This window comes from Homo sapiens, chromosome 3 (genome assembly GCF_000001405.40).
Source record: "Homo sapiens chromosome 3, GRCh38.p14 Primary Assembly".
In the NCBI taxonomy this organism is placed as follows: domain Eukaryota; kingdom Metazoa; phylum Chordata; class Mammalia; order Primates; family Hominidae; genus Homo; species Homo sapiens.
The window spans coordinates 71,977,537-71,998,142 of record NC_000003.12 but is presented as its reverse complement, the minus strand read 5'-3'; the positions used below and the strand labels follow the sequence as shown (position 1 = coordinate 71,998,142).

The 20,606-nt window shown below is 45.2% G+C and overlaps 1 long non-coding RNA gene across 1 annotated transcript, besides 4 other annotated features; it reads right to left on the bottom strand.

Moving 5' to 3' along the window:
• Positions 1 to 2,020: 2,020 nt before the first annotated feature.
• LOC105377157 (uncharacterized) lies at positions 2,021 to 4,444 on the bottom strand. The gene is made up of 2 exons (XR_940957.3): positions 4,359 to 4,444; positions 2,021 to 3,734 (listed from the first exon to the last, which is right to left on the bottom strand). It is a non-coding gene; the product is annotated as an uncharacterized LOC105377157 (long non-coding RNA).
• Positions 14,861 to 16,060: an enhancer, noted in NCBI's record as "P300/CBP strongly-dependent group 1 enhancer chr3:72031234-72032433 (GRCh37/hg19 assembly coordinates)". NCBI's record gives its function as "activates an origin of replication core promoter dependent on BRD2, BRD4, P300/CBP, MED14 and CDK7 cofactors, with strong dependence on P300/CBP, by STARR-seq in HCT116 cells {active_cell/tissue: HCT116}" and the evidence as "EXISTENCE:reporter gene assay evidence [ECO:0000049][PMID:35650434]".
• Positions 15,142 to 15,491: an enhancer, noted in NCBI's record as "active region_20066". NCBI's record gives its function as "activates an Ori minimal core promoter by ATAC-STARR-seq in GM12878 lymphoblastoid cells {active_cell/tissue: GM12878}" and the evidence as "EXISTENCE:reporter gene assay evidence [ECO:0000049][PMID:35858748]".
• Positions 15,732 to 15,821: an enhancer, noted in NCBI's record as "active region_20065". NCBI's record gives its function as "activates an Ori minimal core promoter by ATAC-STARR-seq in GM12878 lymphoblastoid cells {active_cell/tissue: GM12878}" and the evidence as "EXISTENCE:reporter gene assay evidence [ECO:0000049][PMID:35858748]".
• Positions 18,691 to 19,365: an enhancer, noted in NCBI's record as "H3K27ac hESC enhancer chr3:72027929-72028603 (GRCh37/hg19 assembly coordinates)". NCBI's record gives its function as "activates a minimal SCP1, AML or CMV promoter by ChIP-STARR-seq in naive H9 embryonic stem cells {active_cell/tissue: H9 hESC(naive)}" and the evidence as "EXISTENCE:reporter gene assay evidence [ECO:0000049][PMID:30033119]".

Sequence of the window (20,606 nt, the reverse complement as noted above, 5' to 3'; positions counted from 1 at the left end):
TGGAGCTGGAGCAGCCATTTGGGGCTATGAAGCAACTTGGAGTGGAACCATGCACAGAGGAGCATGAGATTAGAAAGAGCCTGGGTTCCTGAAGTAGAGGTGCCCAACTGCATAGCCAGGCTTCCAAAATGTGAAAGAAAGCAACTTCTGTCTTGTTTAGACACTGTTATACGAGGTTTTTCTGTTCCCTTCCGGCCAGTGTAATTCTTACCTATACACAAGCTCATCCCATGTCCTCATAAAAGTTTGGTTGAGCATGGGGCATGTGAAGTTATTTTGAAAAAGGAGATATAAAGGGACATTAATGAGACTCTAGGAATTTTTCCTCGATCTTAAAGATTGAGACAAAACAGAGATCTTTCACTTGTCTGTCTCCGGGGGTTGGTTTTTTTGTTCGTTTGTTTGTTTTGTTTTGTTTTTGCCTATGATGCTAAAACTTCAACAGCAAATGTGGGATGTTGGAAGGATCCATCCCGAAGTTGAGCAGAGGCTGGCAGGACAGTTAGTGGGGAAGAACCTGTATCCTTGGTGACAGCAATGAACCACCTGACGAATCCCTTGGGGAGCCATTTCATATCCAGACTTGTTGTTACAGGAGATAACATATTTACTTTCTAAAAAATACTTTCCCTTGTGTTCTTGTGTTATCGTTCTTTCCCTCCTCCTCCTCTTCCTCCTCCTCCTTTCTTCTTCTTCTTCATCCTCTTCCTCTTCCTCCTCTCCTTCTTCTTCTTCTTCTTCTTTTCTTTTCTCTCTCTCTCCTCTCTCTCTCTCTCTCTCTGTCTCTGTCTCTCTCAACTGGAAACATTCTTACAGATACATTAATCAGTTCCTTTCTTAGTAAATCCAGGGTAGTGAGTCAGGGTATAAATAACAGTGATAACAACAACAGTAGTAGTACACACTGACATTGATCAGTCATGGATGGAGCATGATCTGTGCTAAGTGCTGCGCATGAACTTTATCTCACTCCCTTCCCCAAGAGGTGCTCTTATCCTTTCATTTTCCAGATGAGGAAATTGGGGACTAGAAAGCATACGCAGTGTAGTGCAGGAAAAATATCTTTTCCTTCTACTCCTCTAAGACTCATCTGGGGCCCCTGTAACAGAAGGCAGATTAACAAGAGAAACACATACTAATTTATTTAATATATGTATTTTACATGACACAGGAGAGTATGAGAAAGTGAAGACCCAAAGAAGTTGTTAAACCTGAATGTATTTATGCTAGGTTTGATGAAGAATGGAGATTCTTGGGAAAATGTGACAGGACAAAAGAAAGGTAGGAAGTAAGAGTGGTCAGCTGGGGAAGACAGCAAGCCTGCATCTAGGTTCCTCTACATGTCCTTGTGACTTGGAGATAAGGATCCTCCTCTTCTCCAGGCATAGAAAGGGCACCTCTCATGGAGGGGCTTATGACCTGCCTCAGGGAAAGGTCAGAGAGATCTTCCTGCACCTGCTGTTTTACAGATTCCTTCAGCTTGAAACAGTCAATGTGCCAAGGTATCATATTTGGGGGTAGCAGGTCCTGGAGCCTGTCAGTAGCTTGCTCAAGTTCTCTTAGTTACCAAATGGCAGATCTGGGATTCAGAAGCAGGGAGGCAGTATGGCAAGGGGCTTACACGCATTTGCACTGGGCTCATGGGACCTGTGTGCCTGTACCTCTCTGGTGTCTCAGCCTTCAGAGGTGAAATGAGAGGGTTAGACTTCAGGCTTTTCAAAGCCCCTTTCTGATCTGAACATGGACATTTAGGGGGCGCTCGGGGCTCCTCCCCTCCCTGATCTCATGTTCCTCAAATATTTTAGAGGGTGTGGGTTGGGGTGGTAATTTTTTATATTGAAATAACTTGAGATGTGTAGAAAACTTACAGGAATAGTGCAAAAAACAACTCACCAGTACCTTTTACCCAGATCCCCCACTGATGAATATTTCACCACACTTGCTTGGGGGTGGGAGAGGGAAGGAGGAAGAGAAGGGGTGGGGGAAGAAATGGGATGGAGAAAGAATGCTCCTTCATCCCTAAATATTTCAGCATTTATTTCCTAAGAACAAGCGTCCTTACATAAAGATAATACAATCACCCAAATCAGGAAATTAACATGGAGAGAAATGCAACCATCCAATCGAGGGGCCCTTTCAGATGCAGCTGCCTGCCTCAAAGATGGCCGTCATAAACACCCTTTCCTCTCTGGTCTAGGATCAAATCCACGTTGCTTTTGGGTGTCCCTTCTATTCAGTCTTTTTCCACTGGAAATGGCTCCTTAGCCTTCCCTTTGATTTTCGTGACCTTGATGTTTTTCGGGAATACAGACCAGTTACTGTTGTAGACTGTCCCTCAGTTTGGGTTTGTCTGATGTTTCCTTGTGATTAGATTCAGGTTAGACATTTTGGCCAGAAATGTCACAAAAGCGATGTGTTTTTCTCAGTGCATCCTATCAGAAGGCACACAATGTCAATTTGTCCCATAACTGGTGACGTTAAATTTGGTGGCTTTGAAAGAGACTTTGAGACTTTGAATATCATATGTGGAGATGCTATGAATGCCTGTTCCTCAGCAAACTTAGGCCCACTTGTTTTAGCACCCATCGATGATTTTTGACAGGATCAATTATTAAATGCTGGGTGCCTTGAAAGCTGCTCCACCCACTGTGACCCTGAGCAGGCCACCTTCCCCAGAGTGGGGCCCCTCTGCCACATTGGAGGGGTGAGAATCCTTGGCTGTGACCCTGTTGTTCAAGGGCCCAGGCCATGCTGGGCATCCTCAGATGTGGGCTCCTTTCTTTCCTCCATGCTGCAAGGTGGGCTTGAGAGCAGCTTCCTCTCATGATGAGTGATGAGGTCCCCCCCATGGGACTTTGAGGAGAGACAGGGGAGACATACAGGACTCTGATATTTCAGCAGCAGCATCACACTGCTCTTAACTACATTGCCAATACTGACCTGATCCATCTCTGGCTCTGATGCTGTTCAGCTCTTCTCCTAGTGTCTCCTCCCCCTTTTCTCAATGTGGTAAGGTATTGCAAGATACACACTGATGCTTTGGCCCGGTAGTACTTCCTATGGCTGCCAACCCTTTCCCCACTCTGGGAACCTGGGCCAACGGCTTTTATTATCTCAGAAAAAGGATGTTATCACAGGATGGGGAGAAGAAGGGAAATAATTCTGACAGTTTTGTGTTTCAAAAGTCATAGATGTTTTGAAATTTAGAGTCATATATAACAAAAGAGAGACGTTATCTTGTTCCTTGTACCTTTTGCCACCTATAAAGTTTCTACAAGTTGGGGAGGAAGTGTAAGGACCAGAAAGGAAGGAAAGAAGGCTTAGATGCTGGTCATTCCAGACACTGCTACAGAACTGAGCCCGTTGCGGAGTGGCAAAACCCTCATGTTGATTGGGGAATCCGAAAACCGGGGCTTGTACTCTCATTCTGGGGAGAATCCAGGGAAGTTGCGAGAGCCCAAAACTTAGCATAGACCTGAGTAATTCAGGGAAGAGGCACAGCCGTAGCACAGAGAGCTGGCATCCTGAAAGGCACGGTGGCTAGACGTGAGGAAGGACATACAGCTGCTGGCAGGACGAGGAGAAAATGAGGCATGTCAGCAGATCCAGGGCGGAGTGGGAGAGAGAACCACACTGCAATCTGCACACGCCATCCTCAGCGCCAACTTCCATCCCAGGGTAACTCATCACCCAAGACAGTTACTGGAGCTCCAACTGTCACACCAAGCTCCAGGCTGCAATAAGGAAAAAGAGGGGGAGGGCAAAACGGCCTGTTGGTTAGACGAGTCAGTATCCTTTACAGGGCCTTCCTGGAAGCCCCACACACAACTTCCACTTTTTATCTCATTGACTAGAATAAGAGTCACACCCAGCTACAAGGGAAATAGGGTCATGTGGTCTTTTGGCTGAGCACTGAATTAAAAATTGGGGTCGTTACTAAGTAGGAAGGGGAAAATGGATATGGGGTGGCACCTAACGGTCTCTTTCTCTTTTCTCATTTATTTATTTATTTAGAGACACGGTCTTACTCTGTCACCAAGGCTGGAATGCAGTGGTGAGATCTTGGCTCACTGCAGCCTCAGCCTCTCAGGCTCAAGGGATCCTCCCACCTCAGCCTCCCAAGTAGCTGGGACCACAGGCATGCGCCACCACACCTGGCTAATTTTTTTGTATTTTGGGTAAAGATGGGGTTTCACCATGTTGCCCAGGCTGATCTCGAACTCCTGGGCTCAAGTGATCTTCCTGCCTCAGCCTCCCAAAGTGCTGGGATTACAGGGGTGAGCCACTTCTTCCGACCTGGCAGTCTCTTTCAAGTCGTGCCTTTTCTGTCTCCTCCTTCCCACTTTTCTGGGCCTCACCTCTTCTTCTCTAGCTCTGAGTTCCAACCTCACTTTACAGCACCCTGAAGGAGCTACCAGCCTCATTTCTGTCACCTCTGCACAAAGGGGCACTGTTTGCATCCCATTGGTGGGAGTTGGTAGAACATGCTGGTGCTGTCATGGTTGCCTTGCCCACATGTTTTCAGTTTCATGTGGTTGCAATGGATATGCTTCCTTCCTGACGCCAATTCAAGTTTCAGCCCATGTCCTGTTGCCCATTGTGCGTGGTGGTCTGTGTGTGGACACAGGCCAAATAAGTCATTCTGTAGCCTCCAGTAAGGTGACCAGGTGGCCCAGGGGGCCCGAGCTGACTTTGGTACCAAAAGCCTGTAGGGCAGGTATCTTGGAAAATGCTGTGGAGTCTCCCTTTTCCTAAGGGAAAGAGATGAAAGAAGAAGGAACTGACATTTAAGTGACTGTCACGTACTAAGTCTTGTGCTAATGATTCTCAGATGTGATCTTGTGTGATTTTGGTGCAGGAACATCAAAACTATGAGGCAGGTAGGTACTTCTCCTAGTATGAGTTCTACCCAAAGCAGACCCTGAGACAAGGACTTGGGTACACATAGTTTATTTGGGCCAGAAAGGACAAGTAAGGAAATGGTATGTTGGTAAATGTCTAACATCTGGCTGTCCAACAACAATAACAACAGGCCGGGCAAGGTGGCTTATGCCTGTAATCCCAGCGCTTTGGGAGGCAGAGGCAGGTGGATCATCTGAGGTCAGGAGTTTGAGACCAGCCTGGCCAACATGGTAGTCTCTACTAAAAATACAAAATTTAGCTGGGCGTGGTGGCAGGTGCCTGTAATTCCAGCTACTGGGGAGGTTGAGGCAAGAGAATTGCTTAAATCCAGGAGGCAGAGGTTGCAATGAGCCAAGGTCGTGCCACTGCTCTCCAGCCTGGGCAACAGAGGGAGACTCTGTCTCAAAAAAAAAAAAAAAAAAATCAATAACAACAACAACAACCTGATTTATAGCATCTAGGGATTTCCCTGGTATAAATATGACACCATAGTCAATTTTAGGTCACCATCATGACATCACTGAACACAGAGGGAAGAGATGCACACATTGATTCTCAAAAACCTATGTAAGCTGGTACCAGCACATCAAAAGGAAGAGCTAGCCAAGATAAAGCCAATGAAGCGTGCCTTAATAAGCAGGTCACTAACGTGGACACATGGAACTCACTCTCATGGGTGCACTCTGTGAAACAGCATGGAGCACACCTCAGAATCCACTCACAGGGACACTGGCACACTTACCCATCTGACTCTATTCCCTACTGATTGAAGTTAACTTTCCCCCCAGCTCCAATTAGGTCTCCAGATCTTTGAGAAAGCTCACCTAGTGCCAAAAATAAAGCCTTCCAGCAGAGAAGAGAGAGGCACAGGTATTTGAGATGGGAATTATTAGCATGCTGGAAAATGCCTTTGCCTGCAGCCGCAGGTGAATTCAGGCGGCCCAAGGGTATAGGGGATAAAGCAGCAGTAGAACTGGAATCTGCAACAGGAGGCAACACACTTTTTCTGTAAAGGACCAGACAGTAAATATTTCAGGCTTTGCATGCCACATATGGTCACTGTCACATATTTTTCAAATTTTTTATTTGCTTGTGGTTTACAAGATTTTAAACATATAAAAAACATAAAAAAACCTTCTTAGCTTGTGGGGCTGAACAAAATGAGTCTGAGGGCCACAGATTGCCAAGGCCTGTCCTACAGACCAGCAATAGCAGCACCCAGGAGCTTGCAAAAATGCAGATTCCCAGGCACCACCCCCGGTACTGAATACAATCTGCATTTTAGCAAGGTGTACACAGTAATGTTTGAGGAACACTATGCTGCTGTACTATCATTTCCATCATACAGATAAGGACACTCAGTCCTTAGAGAGGCTGAGTCACCTGATAGAAGCCGCAAAGAGCCAGGACTCAAATCCAGGCCTGACTGATCCCAAGGCCATTCTCTTCACAGGTCTGGTTATAATTGTAAATAATCTATAAAAAATTTCAATTCCCATATGATATGGTTTGGATGTTTGTCCCTTGCAAATCTCATGTTGAAATGTGATCCCCAAAATTGGAGGTGAGGCCTAGTGGGAGGTGTTTGGCTCTTAGGGGTGGAGCCCTCAAGAGTGGCTTGGTGCCAACCCCATGGTAACGAGTTCATGCACGATCTGCTTGCATGAACCAGAGTCTGGGACCTCCCTCCCCTCTCTCTTCCTCCCTCTCCCACCATGTGACACACCTGCTCCCCCTTCTCCTTCCACCATGAGTGGAAGCTTCCTGAGGCCTCACCAGAAGCAGATGCTGGTGCCACACTTCTTGTACCGCCTGCAGAACCATGAGCCAAAATAAACCTCTTTTCTTTATAAATTACCCAGCCTCAGGTACTCTTTTATAGCTATGCTAAATGGGCTAATATACCATATTTAAAGTAAGATGGCTACTTTAAAATAATATCTAAGCAATTTTGTAGTGACATCATTGGAGGAGCCCTGTACATGGGGAAATGAGTCATTTTAGCAATCCATTTACAGAAAGACAGGCGATGTGGAGCTCCAGAAAGGAGTTCCTGTGTCTGTGATGACCATCTTCCTTACACATGATCTTAGGTATCTTAGAAGCAGACCGAGTCCCTCAGTAGATTGGAACCTCCTTGAGAGCAGGAACAGGGTATTCTCTTCCCCTGATGACCTCTCAAAGGATTAGTAAATTGATTCTCTAAAGGAATGCAAACAGGAAGTGCACAGAATCCCACCACTGGTTAGACCCTAATTATACTCTTTTTTGTGTGTTGTGGGTTAGAGGTTAGCTTAAGAGATTCAACCTTGCAACTAATTCTTCCCAATGCACCAGGCTGACTGGGACTCCTACCCTGCTGTGTAGGACAGTGTCATGGTGTGGAAGTGAGGGCTTAAGTCAAGCCCAAACATGACTTCCAGACAGTCAGATCTGCTTTTTCTTTCTAGGGATTCTATTATATGCATGTTGGGTCTCATGGACATCATTTTTTTTTCTTCTTTGATTCTCACCTCTTTAATCTTTTCCACAGAGCTCTTGAAGAAGCTCTTAAGCCTATCTCTCTCTTCTGTGATCTTGGTTTTCTTCAGTGACTCAGGAAAGGCACTGCTTCTATTGTGTTTTTAATATGACACCTATAATTTTCATCTGCAGTCTTTATAGACTGGATTATGGATCTTGGATTATGTTTATTCTTCATGACAACCTGCTGTCATTTAATAGATATGATGGGTCTTTAAGTTATCTTGAAAATACTAATGATGACTTACCTAGTTTCACATGTTTTTCTTTCAAGATAAATTTGCTGTTTTCACATTGGCCCCTTTCCATTGCCACAAACAGTAAATTCTTTTTTGTTTTCTTATTTATTCAGAGAATAGCCTATATTTGCAAATTACTGAGATGGGCTAAGTTTCTTTCAGAGACTGTATTCATCCATGTCTGAATCACTGATACTCAGATGAAGGAGAAAGACCATGCAAGATAGTAATGTTAATGGGCAGGGCCCTGAAACTAGACTGCCTGGGTTCAAGTCCCAGTTCCACCACTTTCTAGCTATGTGATTTGGGGTAAGTTACTTGACTGGGCTGAACCTCAGTTTCTTCCTCCATAAAATGGAGATATTAATAATGCTGACCTCCTGGGTTTATGTCGTGAGGATTCTATGAGCCTAGATATAGGGTGCATAGAAGAGTGCCCAGCATATGGTAAGCTCAGAGAAAGTGTTAGCTGTGAAGATGATGATGACAATGATAACAGTAATAATTTTACTCCATTCATGCAGACTCCTCTGTTTGCTTTCCGAATTCATTGTTTCTGTGAAGTCAGGTCAAGCCAGTCTTTAATCTTGTCTTGAACCGTCACATTTTGCAGAAGTTCTTTAAGGTTTCTGGCATATGGCTTTAGGACTCTTCTGTGGTATAATAATGTAATAAAATTATTATTTTCTTCAGAGCAAAATCTGCCCTCCCACATAAGAAGGAGCTATTTTTCTTGGGAGATATTTTAGCTCACATTCCATAGAAAATAGAGCCTGAGATGATGCTTACCTGACCGTGCTTATTGGGGGTGCAATCACAGGCCACAAGAATAAGGGAACAAAGAAATGAGGTGGAGAAGGAAGGAACGCAAATGTAGGTGGTGCATTACCAATTGGGCTGGCCACAGCTTCACAATGAAACACAGCAGGTTGCTTGTTCATGCAGTACATCTGCAGAGAAGTAAAAGAGGTACTCCTAAGCCTCAGAAGAGTCCATCAGGGGAGCAAAGTGCAAGGAATTTAACTGTGGCTCCTTCACTGCCAGGTCTCTCCTTGGTCAACATTAGCTCCATGGGGCATTGACTCATGCCATTTCTGGGTGGTGTCATCTCCATCTAAGCAGCCACTGAGGAAGCCAAATTCCACGCCCCAAAGCATGATGCTTCTCCTGCGCCTGGAATTAGAGGGAGGAGCCAGGGCCCTGATGAGTCAGGTCAGTCCTGGGCCTCAGAGTGGGCATGACGGGGGTCATGGGAAGGCTTTGCCTTTACTCCAGGGGAGACTGATGCTGCTGCGGGGATTAGAATATGGGGACCTAGGATACAGATGTGAGCCCCTCCCTGATAGAATATTGAGAGGATAATTTTATTTTCTCCAGGACAGTGTATGCCCAGCCACCCAAGAAACATCTATTTTTATGAGGAGATGTTTTAGCTCATGTTGCTTAAAGATTAAAGCTTAGAATAGTGAAGCTGAGCAAATATATGGAGGCCCATAAGTTACATCCTGTGCAGTTTGAATATCCAAGAATGTTTGAGAAACAGTGTATGTTCATTGAACTAGTTTTTTGTTTTTGTTTTAAGCAAACAGGATCTTGCTCTGTCACCCAAGCTAGAATGCAGTGGTATGATCATGGCTCACTGCAGCCTCAACCTCCCAGGCTCAATGATCCTCCCCTCTCAGCCTCCTGAGTAGCTGGTACTATAGATGACTGACACCATGTCCAGCTTTTTTTTTTTTTTTGTAGAGACAGGATCTTACTATATCATCCAGGCTGGTCTCAAATTCCTAGGCTCAAGTGATCCTCCTGTCTTGGCCTCCTAAAGTGCTGGGATTATAGGAGTAGGCCACCACCTCTGGCCTGAACTGATTTTTAAAGGGAGAAATCCAGGGCTCCTTTCTCTTGAGTAGGGAATGTGAGCTGATGGTCAGAGTGGAAATGCACAGAGGCCAGGGGCTGGAGAAGATGAGATAGCCAACTCCTTAAGAGGAAGTGACGGGGAAGACAGAGAGGTTTTTAGAGTTTTATGAAGTTCAGTCTGGGCAGTGCTATAAATTCCCTTTCTCATTTTCCTTGAGATCATCAGCCCCATCTATATTACCTCCTAATAGTTTGTAAAACTGATCTATTTGAGGCAGGGGCACTGGCCCCAGTGCTGAGCTCAGCCTCAAAGAAGGCACAGGGTAAGCTGAGGATTACATTGAGATGTTTGCTTTGCCTGGGGTTCACCAGGTGCCAGCTTTTCCTCTGCATTAGACAGATTTTTGATTTCAAACAACAGAAATTAACTCTGGCTTTCTTCAGTGGAGAAGGAATTGAGAAAGAATATTGGGGACTGGACAGGGCAGGAATCAAGGCAGTTGCAGTAGGTCAATCAACAGGAAGAACCACAATGAATTTTAACAGGAAGCATCTGCCTAGGATGCCACCACTACCACCGCCAGGAAGAAATTAACCACCCTGCGGCTTTGCCTCACTCCCTGCAGATTTAGAGTCCAATTAGCTCAGCCCAGTCAGATGTGTATATATCCTGCCTGCCAGGGGAGCACAGGGAACTGTTGTGAGAGGCAAGGAACCGCGTTCCAACAATTACTACACACATGAGGCAGGAGGGGGTGGATTCTGCTTGTAATTCCGCTTGGAGAAGCAGGAGGCCACAGTCATTAAAGGTACTAGCTCTGGGATCAGATAGCCTGGATTTGAAGTCAAGCTTGGCCATTTTCTTGCTTAATGTACCTGGATAAGTCACTTTAACTCTCTGCTTTTCAGTTTCCTTGCCTATGAAATGAAGCAAAAACAATCCTTACCTTAAATTATCATTATGGGCTGGGTGCAGTAGCTCACTCCTGTAATCCCTGCACTTTGAGAGGCAGAAGTGGGAGGACTGCTTGAGGCCAGAAGGTTGAGGTTACAGTGAGCTACAGTCACGCCACTGCACCCTAGCCTGGGCAACGGAGCGAGACCCAGTTTCTAAAAGAACCCAAAAAGCTTCGTTATAAGAAGAAAAAAATTAATTTAATTAAAACATTTAAAGCATCATTATGAAGATTAAGGGTTAAAGCCCTGAAAACGTTGTTAGGGCCAAAAATTGTTAGCAACTTGTATTAGTTTCCCGTGGCTGCTGTAACAGATACCACAAAAACTGGCTCGGTTAGGAAAACAGAAATGTACTCTGTCACTGTCTGGAAGCTAGAAATTTAAAGTCAAGGTGTCAGCAGGACTGCACTCCCTCTGGAGGCTGTAGCAGGGATTCTGTTCCCTGCTGCTTCCAGCTTCTGGTGGAGCCTGGCATTGCTTAGTTTGTGGCCACATCACTCCAATCTCGGCCTCTGCCTTCATGTGGACTTTTCCTCCTCTGTCTTCTTATCTTCTGTCTCTTATATGAACACGTGCATTCCACTGAAGACTTATCCAGATGATCCAAGATGATCTCATCTTGAGAGCCTTGCTTAATTGCACCTGCCAAGACCCTTTCTCCAAATAAGGTCACATTCACAGGTACTAGGTGGACATATTTTTAGGGGGCCATCATTCAACCAACTACACAGCTCTCTGCTTTCATGCCCACATCGAAAAAGGAGTTGAATGCTGGATAATGGAGGCAGTCGACCCTTTATTTATGTTCTTTTGATAATCCTTGAGGGAATTAGGAGTTGGCGGTGGGGTGATTTGCATGGCCTGAGTCAGGCACATGACTCTGTATCATCAACACCGTTTTGATCAGAGGTCAGAAGCATGTTTTAGTGCTCAAGTAAGAAAGACTCTAGTGGGCCAAATGTGGAGAAATGACAGATCGCTCTCAAAACATACTGCTTCCTACCTTAAGACCGTAGCTGTCACTTCCTATCTTAAGACCCAAGCAGCTGGGTGATGGAAGGTTTTTCATCCATAGCTAAGACAACTGAAGGACCTGAGGTTCTAACTTCTGAGATATTCTCAGTGGTAAAACATTAGCACCTCTCACGTGGCAATAAACTTTACTGTTGTGCAAAGCCAGCCCAGTGTGCTGGGCAGATATGATTCCCCTAAGGAATCAGAGGAAAGGCCTAAGGCCCAGATTTTGTTCTGTTTGTACCCTCCTGGGTGGTGGCACAAGGGAGAGAATCTGAGGTCTTTCAGTCAAAACATCAGGGGTCGACTAGGCATGGTGGCTCACACCTGTAATTCCAGCACTTTGGGAGGCTGAGGTGGGAGGATCACCTTAGGTCGAGAGTTTGAGATCAGTCTGGACAACATGGTAAAACCCTGTCTCTACTAAAAATACAAAAACTAGCCAGGTGTGGTGGTGCACACCTGTAAACTCAGCTACGTGGGAGGCTGAGGCAGGAGAATTACTTGAACCAGGGAGGCAGATGTTGCAGTAAGCTGAGATAGCACCACTGCACTCCAGCCTGGGTGACAGAGTGAAACCCTGTCTCAAAAAAAAAAAAAAAAAAAAAAAGTGAGGGGTCATCAGGTGCAGCTGCCTTCACTTTGTACCATCAGGCCCATTCTATCTTTGATACATGATACCACGCAGTTCTACCTTCAGGAGACAGTCTTTGTTATTTCTCTACTTCTCTGTGCATGCGTGTGTGTGTGTGTGTGTGTGTGTGTGTGTGTGTGTGTGTGTGTGTTTTCTCCATAAGAATATGTAAGTTCTTCCAGAATAAGGAACCCTACCTCCCACCGAGTCTATCTTCCACCCCACCCGCCCCCGAGCAGCAGACTCTGAGACAGGAGTTTCAGTACACACTGTTGATTTGGAAAGTGATCCCACTAGGGGAGTTGGGAAATGAGACAGGGAAGAGAAGGAAGCCAATTTTGTGTGTTGCTGAGTGGGTTTTCACTGCAGACAACTGGGAACCTTCAGAAGACTGTGCAGAACCTACCAGGGTTAAGGCCCGCAAGGGGCAAGGAAGCTGATGCTTACCCTCCAATGCTCATTCATCATCAGCTGGGGCTGCTCTTGGGAGTATCAACTCCTGAGCACTTGCAGCCCAACATGTGTGCAGAGGAGAAAACCCTCAGGCAGAGATCACAGAGGACTTCGTAGGCGTGTAAGGAAGTCAGGGCCAACAGGATATGGGGGAAGCACAAGGCTTATGATTGTGGGCTTTGCAGTTAGAAAGTCCTGGATCCGAATTTTGGTTCAGCCAGTTGTGAGATTCTGGCAAGTTCCTTTTCTCTCTGAAGCTCATTTGCCTCCTTTGTAAATTAGAGATAATAATAGTCTACCTCACAAGGTTTTGATTCAAAATGAAACACTTACATGAAACGTTCGGTACATGCCTGGTGTGTGGGAAGCACCTGTGACCGTAACTGCCTTGTGCCATTTTAAGATTAGCACAGGACCAGCGCTGATAGCTATTGCTTGAATTGACTTTGAAATCTCAGTGAATGCTGGCACACTGCATTATGTTGTGTACACATTTTCATATCATGATTTTGACAGATTTGCACATGCTTTTGTTCTTTCTTTTTTTTTTTTTTTTTTTTTGGTAGCTCATTGTGGTTTTAACTTGAGTCTCCCTAATAACTAATGATGTCAAAACTGTTCTCATGTGCTTATTTGCCACATGTATTTTTTTTTTTTTTTTTTTGAGACAGAACCTTGCTCTGTTGCTTAGGCTGGAGTGCAGTAGCACCATCTCGGCTCACCGTAACCTCTGCATCCCGGGTTCAAGCAGTTCTTGTCTCAGCCTCCCAAGTAGCTGGGATTATAGGCACCCACCACCAGGCCCAGCTAATTTTTGTATTTTTAGTAGAGATGGGGTTTCACCATGTTGGCCAGGCTGGTCTTGAACTCCTGACAAGTGATCCACCCACCTCGGCCTCCCAAAGTGCTGAGATTACAGGCGTGAGCCACCGCGCCCACTGCCACCTGCTTTTGATACATCCTGGAACGTAAAGTATCTATTGGGTGTCAGATTGTAACTATGCGCCTGGGTGCACAGCCCCTTGCCTTTCTGGGTTTTGGTCCACAGAAAGCTAAGATATAAAGAGGGGAGGTATTCAGCTATTCAGAGGGGTTGAGAGACCAAGGAGAAGAAACGAGAGGGAGATGGTAGAGGAGACCCTCCCTTGAGGCTGCCCATCATTGTAGACAGATGGTTACTAAGGAGGAAGAGCCTGCATCATCTGGCGGCTGCTACAGGTGTGTCTGGCAGCTAAAAGTCAGACAGCTCAGGAAAAGGACTGTACCTTCCCATACTTCTAAATGTCAAGAGCAAGAGAGGGGCTCCCTGTGAAAGCCTTCTTAAAACAGAGCTAGCCTCAAGCATGATCCGGATATTAATCCTAACTTAATCTTGCATCACGTAAGGATTCTACTGAGCATAAAGGTCTTCAAACATAATATTCTTTGAATCCCAGTCTCCTCTGGGCATCACAGTGCTAGTTGTCTCAGCCTAGATTCTCTAGAAAACAGAGCTGGAGGCAAATGATTATACACTAATATTTTATTGGGAAGTGCAGTCCCAGGGATGATAGAGTGAGGGGAAACAGGAATGAGGTCAGGAATGAATGACAGCAAATATAAGAAGGTGCATGCCAAGTTGGCATGGAAAGCGATCGATTGCTCCAATTTGTCACTGTCCTCCGACAGGTTGTACACACATCTTAGGACAGTGTGCGCTCATTGGGAGGACAGTATCAGAGTTTATCCTTTCCAATAAGTTCTCCCAATTTATCATTTGACCAGCTTCTGTCCCTCACTGATCAAAGTGTTAACCACCCTGCTCACTTCCAGGTCACACATGTTGGGGTCTAGGCCACCTGGTGTCTCAGCAGCAACAGAGATGCCTTAGGGCAGGAGAGAAGAAGAGAGTCCTCAGCATAGGAGGCAAAGTCAGGCATGGGGCAAGAGCTGTTGGGTCGTGCTCAAGCAGGTGGTGTCAAAAACTCTCTCCTTGACCAAACTCTAGCCAGGCTCCTTTGAGCTCTTCGTCAACAAGGCCCCATCTTTGGGCATGTCCTCAAGAGCTCTTTCTCTTTTTTGAGACAGGGTCTTTCTCTGTCACCCAGGCTGGAGTGCAGTGGTGTGAACTTGGCTCACTGCAACCTCTGCCTCCTGGGTTTAAGCGATTCTCCTGCCTCAACCTCCTCAGTAGCTGATTACAGGCAATGCGCCACCATGCCCAGCTAATTTTTTGTATTTTTTTAGTAGAGACGGGGTTTCGCTGTGTTGGCCAGGCTGGTTTCAAACTATGGACCTCAAGTGATCTACCCACCTCAGCCTCCAAAGGTGCCGGTAATACAGGAATTACAAAGTGCCATGGCTGGCCAAGAGCCCAATTTTATCGAGAATCCTACTGTGTTTCTCCGGCCCATTTATTGAGTGACCCAAAAGGCTACCAGTTTTGAGTGAGGTCCAGAACAGGAGAAGGTTCTGCAATAGGTCCAGGCAGCTGTGCAAGCTGCTCTGCCATTTGGGCCATATGACCCAGCAGATCCAATGGTGCTTGAGGTGTCAGTGGCAGGTAGGGATGCCGTTTGTAGCCTTTGGCAGGCCTCCATAGGTGAATTGCAATGGAGGCTTCTAGGATTTTGGATCTAAGCCCTGTCATCTTCTGCAGATAACTACTCTCCTTTTGAGAGACAGCTCTTGGCCTATTACTGGGCTTTGGTAGAAACTGAACATTTGACTATGAGTCATCAAGTCACCATGCAACCTGAACTGCCTATCACGAACTGGGTGCTTTCTGACACATCTAGCCATAAAGTGAGTCACGCACAGCAGCATTCCATCATCAGATGAAAGTGGCATATACGTGATCAGGCTTGAGCAGGTCCTGAAGGCACAAGTAAGTTACATTAGGAAGTGGCTCAAATGCCCATGGTCTCCACTCCTGCCACCCTGCCTTCTCACCCCCAGCCTGCCCTGATGGCCTCGTGGGGAGTTCCCTCTGATCAGCTGACAGAGGAAGAGAAGACTAGGGCCTGGTTCACAGATGGTTCTGCATAATATGCAGGCACCACCCGAAAGTGGACAGCTGTAGCACTACAGCCCCTTTCTAGGACATCCCTGAAGGACGGCAGTGAAGGGAAATCTTCCGAGTGGGCAGAACTTCGAGCAGTGCACCTGGTTGTGCACTTTGCATGGAAGGAGAAATGGTCTGATGTGTGATTATATACTGATTTCATGGGCTGTATAGCCAATGGTTTGGCTGGATGGTCAGGGACTTGGAAGAAGCATGATTGGAAAATTTGTGACAAAGAAATCTGGGGAAGAGGTATGGACCTCTCTGAGTGGTCAAAAACTGTGAAGACATTTGTATCTCGTGTGAGTGCTCACCAACAGATGACCTCAGCAGAGAAGGATTTTAATAATCAAGTGGATAGTATGACCCGTTCTGTGGACACCACTCAGCCTCTTTTCCCAGCCACCCCTGTTATCACTCAATGGGCCCATGAACAAAGTGGCCATGGTGGTAGGGATGGGCTCAGCAACATGGACTTCCACTCATCAAGGCTGACCTGGCTACAGCCACTGCTGAGTGCCCAATTTGCCAGCAGTAGAGACCAACACTGAGCCCTCGATATGGCACCATTCCTCGGGGTGATCAGCCAGCTACCTGGTGGCAGATTGATTATATTGGACCTCTTCAAATCACGTAAAGTGCAGAGGTTTGTCCTCACTGGAATAGACACTTACTCTGTTATGGGTTTGCCTATCCTGCATGCAATGCTTCTGCCAAGACTACCATCTGTGGACTCGTGGAATGCCTTATCCACCATCATGGTAATTCCACACAGCATTGCCTCTGACCAAGGCACTCACTTTACAGGGAAGAAGTGCAGCAGTGGGATCATGCTCATGGAATTCATTGGTCTTACCATGTTCCCCATCATCCTGAAGTAGCTGGATTGACAGACTGGTGGAATGGCTTTTTGGAGTTACAATTACAACACCAACTAGGTGACAATACGTTGCAGGGCTGAAGCAAAGTTCTCCAGAAGGCCATGTATGCTCTGAATCAACGTCCAATATATGGCACTGTTTCTCCCATAGCCAGGATTCACTGGTCCAGGAATCAAGGGGTGGAAGTGGAAGTGGCACCACTCACCATCACCCCTAGTGATCCACTAGAAAAATTTTTGCTTCCTGTTTCCACGACATTATGTTCTATTGGCCTAGAGGTCTTAGTTCCAAAGGGAGGAATGCTACCACAAGGCGACACAACAACAATCCCATTAAACTGGAAGTTAAGAGTGCCACCTGGACACTTTGGGCTCCTCCTACCTTTAAGTCAACAGGCTAAGAAGGGAGTTACAATGTTGGCTGGGGTGATCGACCCAGACTATCAAGATGAAATCAGTCTACTACTCCACAACGGAGGTAAGGAAGAGTATGCATGGAATACAGGAGATCCATTAGGGCATCTCTTAGTATCACCATGCCCTGTGACTAAGGTCAATGGGAAGCTACAACAGCCCAATCCAGGCAGGACTACAAATAACCCAGACCTTTCAGGAATGAAGGTTTGGGTCACTCCGTCAGGAAAAAAACCACGATCTTCTGGGGTGCTTGCTGAAGGAAAAGGGAATACAGAATGGGTAGTAAAAGAAGGTAGTCATCAATACCAGCTACGACCACGTGACCAGCTGCAGAAACAAGGACTGTAATTGTCATGCGTATTTCCTCCTTCTTTTGTTAAAAACATGTTTGTGCATGTGTACACTTGTACTAAGAAAATATCTTCATTTTATTTCTTTTCTCCTTTATCATGTGACAAGATTTATTGACTTCACATCAGCATTTAACTATTTGGGTTGGGGATTGGTGAGTTTCCGCTTGTATTATGTTAGGCGTAATTATGACCTTATTATTGTCTTTATTTGAAGATTATGTATGATCTCAGGATAGGTGTGTGGGTTCAAGTTGACAAGTGGTGGACTTGGGATGGTTAATACTGAGTGTCAACTTGATTGGATTGAAGGATACAAAGTATTAATCCTGAATGTGTCTGTAAGGGTGTTGCCAAAGGAGATTAACATTTGAGTCAATGGGCTGGGAAAGGCAGACCTACCCTAAATCTGGGTGGGCACAATCTAATCAGCTGCCAGCTCAACTAGAATAAAAAGCAGGCAGGAAAATATGAAAGGAGAGACTGGCCGGCCGGGCGCGGTGGCTCACGCCTGTAATCCCAACACTTTGGGAGGCCAAGTGGGGTGGATCACGAGGTCAGGAGATCCAGACCATGGTGAAACCCCGTCTCTACTAGAAATACAAAAAATTTGCCAGGCGCGGTGGCAGACGCCTGTAGTCCCAGTTACTCAGGAGGCTGAGGCAGGAGAATGGTGTGAACCCGGGAGGCAGAGCTTGCAGTGAGCTGAGATCGTGCCACTGCACTCCAGCCTGGGCAAAAGAGCGAGACTCCATCTCAAAAAAAAAAAAAACAAAAGAAAAGAAAAGAGAGACTGGCCTAGCCTTCCAGCCTACATCTTTCTCCTGTGCTGGATGCTTCCTGCCCTTGAACATCAGACTCCAAGTTCTTCAGTTTTGGAACTTGGACTGGCTCTCCTTGCTCCTCAGCCTGCAGATGACCTGTTTTGGGACCTTGTGATTGTGTGAGTTAATACTGAATAAACTTCCCTTTATATATATATATATATATATATATATATATATATATATATATATATACACACACACACACACACACACACACATACATATATTTTATATATACAAAGGGGGCATATATATATATATATATATATATATATATATATATATATATATTCCATTAGTTCTGTCCCTCTAGAGAACACTGACTAATACACCTACAAAGTCAATTTGGCCAGAATTCCTCACTCTCCATATCCAATCACCCTCCTCATCTGGCACCATATCAGATGATGTCTGATCACTCTGGCCTGCCTTCAGCAAGAATCCCATTATGTCAGTTTAATGAAGAATTACCTTACCCTCAGAGATTTTCCACCCACCAACTTCTCGCTGGCTATAAATCCCCACCCTTCCTTGTTGCATTTTCAGAGCTGAGAAAGAAAAGGAACTTTTTATCTGAGGAATGCCAGTCCATTAAAAAACCCGGCCCAGAGAGGCATTGAAATGTGACAGAAGGCTCAGATCACCTGCCCTCCTTGAGCTAAGTAATCTGCCTGCTACCTGGACTCTAGACTGAGTGTCCTCACCAAGAAGCTATAAATTAACCTAACAATGCCTCACACTGGACACCATGACCCACACCCTACAGTTCAACAATATAGTGTCAATTACTCATCAATGTTATTTCTGCAAACCAGTGAGAATTCCTGAGGAACAACCTTTGTAATCTCTCCCTCTTTGAATTCGCCCTTTTTTCTTTAAAAACACTAGCCTCTCCTTTATTCTCCAGAGCATTTCCCAGCATTTTCCAGACTGTAGTCCTCAAACTTGTCCCAGATAAACTCAACTGTATTAATTTTACCTCCGTTTCTTTCTTTAGGTAGACAGGGTTGAACCCAATCTCTCTCCCCTACTGCAAAACCCCATCGTAGCAGTCACCTGAATAAGGTGTTCCTTCTCGCCTTTCATGAGTGTCGGAATAGTTTATCTTTAACAGTGATCAGACCACACAGTGGTGAGTCCAATATGCAGGAGAGGTGCCTGATACACTAGTTTGAGACTTATTTCCATAGGAAATACTGGACTCTGAGTAATAATTAAAGCCTTTTTTTTTCCAAGCATTTACTTTGCAACCAGACACTTTTCTAGGCTCTTTATCCTATTAGCTGATTTAGTACCATTTTCAGAAAAGGAAACCCAGGCACCAAGAGTTGAAGTTATCTAACGCAAGATCACTCAGTGAGTAACTGCTGGAGCCTGAATCTCAACCCTGGTAGACCAGCTTCACAGCCTGTTGTCTAACCCATTACACTTAATAGACACAGAACAACATAACAGCATACAGGACACCCTGGTCCAGTCCCCTACCAGCCACAGGATCCAGGGCAAGGACGGCAATCTCTGTGCCCTGGGTTCATTCATCTGTACAATGCAAATGAGCATACATCGGAATTTTACAAGCACAAACATTTTGAAACAAGTCACAGAATATGCTAGCTTCGGTGCCTGACTCTGAATAAACACACACTCTATTTTATGTGTTGTTCTTGTTATCATTATTACCAATCTCTTTTAAGTGTTTTCTTTTACCTGAAATGGTGCTCACTGAATTGAATGCAACTTCTTGGCACAAAGAATCACAATGAGCTCTTTCAAGTTTCAATTTTCGTCACCTTTGCCTCCCGAGCAGCACACACATATAGAAAGTGCTGTAAGGATTAGCCACAGAGCATGCAGTGACTCCGTCTCCTTCCTGTGAAATCCAAATTGAGTGAGCTGAGATGCCCCAGGGATAGAAGAGAGATGTTTGGATAATTGCTGATCATTCACAGGCATAAAATAAACCTTTGAAGGAGACCTCATCCTTATACTAGATTATCATAATGCTTTAACGAAATCTTTGACTTTAAAAATGTCTTGTAAATTTGGTTTGAATGCTTGTATTAGGTTTAATATCATCTTATTTTTCTGTTTTATGAATCATGTCAGTTTTTCTCTGGAGCTTGAAAGAACTGCTATCCATTAACGGAACAAAAAGTTGTTAAGCAGGTCGGTCATCCTGTCACATCATAGGGAGATGCTTACCCTACCTGGGGTTTGTTTCACGTGCTTATTTGGGTATGGGACAAGGACAGATTAATCCCACAGCTGACCCTCAGCCCTGCCCCCTCTTGAAACCCTCCTGAGGCTATCTCCAGAATGTTCCTTATCAGAATACACATCACTCTCCTCTGTCCATGGTAGCTGATTTCTGCATAGCCACACATCAATAGTTCATTGATTGACTGAGTGTAAAAGGAAAGGTTCCACAAAAGTAAATTTTTCGGCTAAATGGAGCTTATCCTTGTAAGCAACACATTTAAAATTTTTAATTATATTTGAAAGAAATG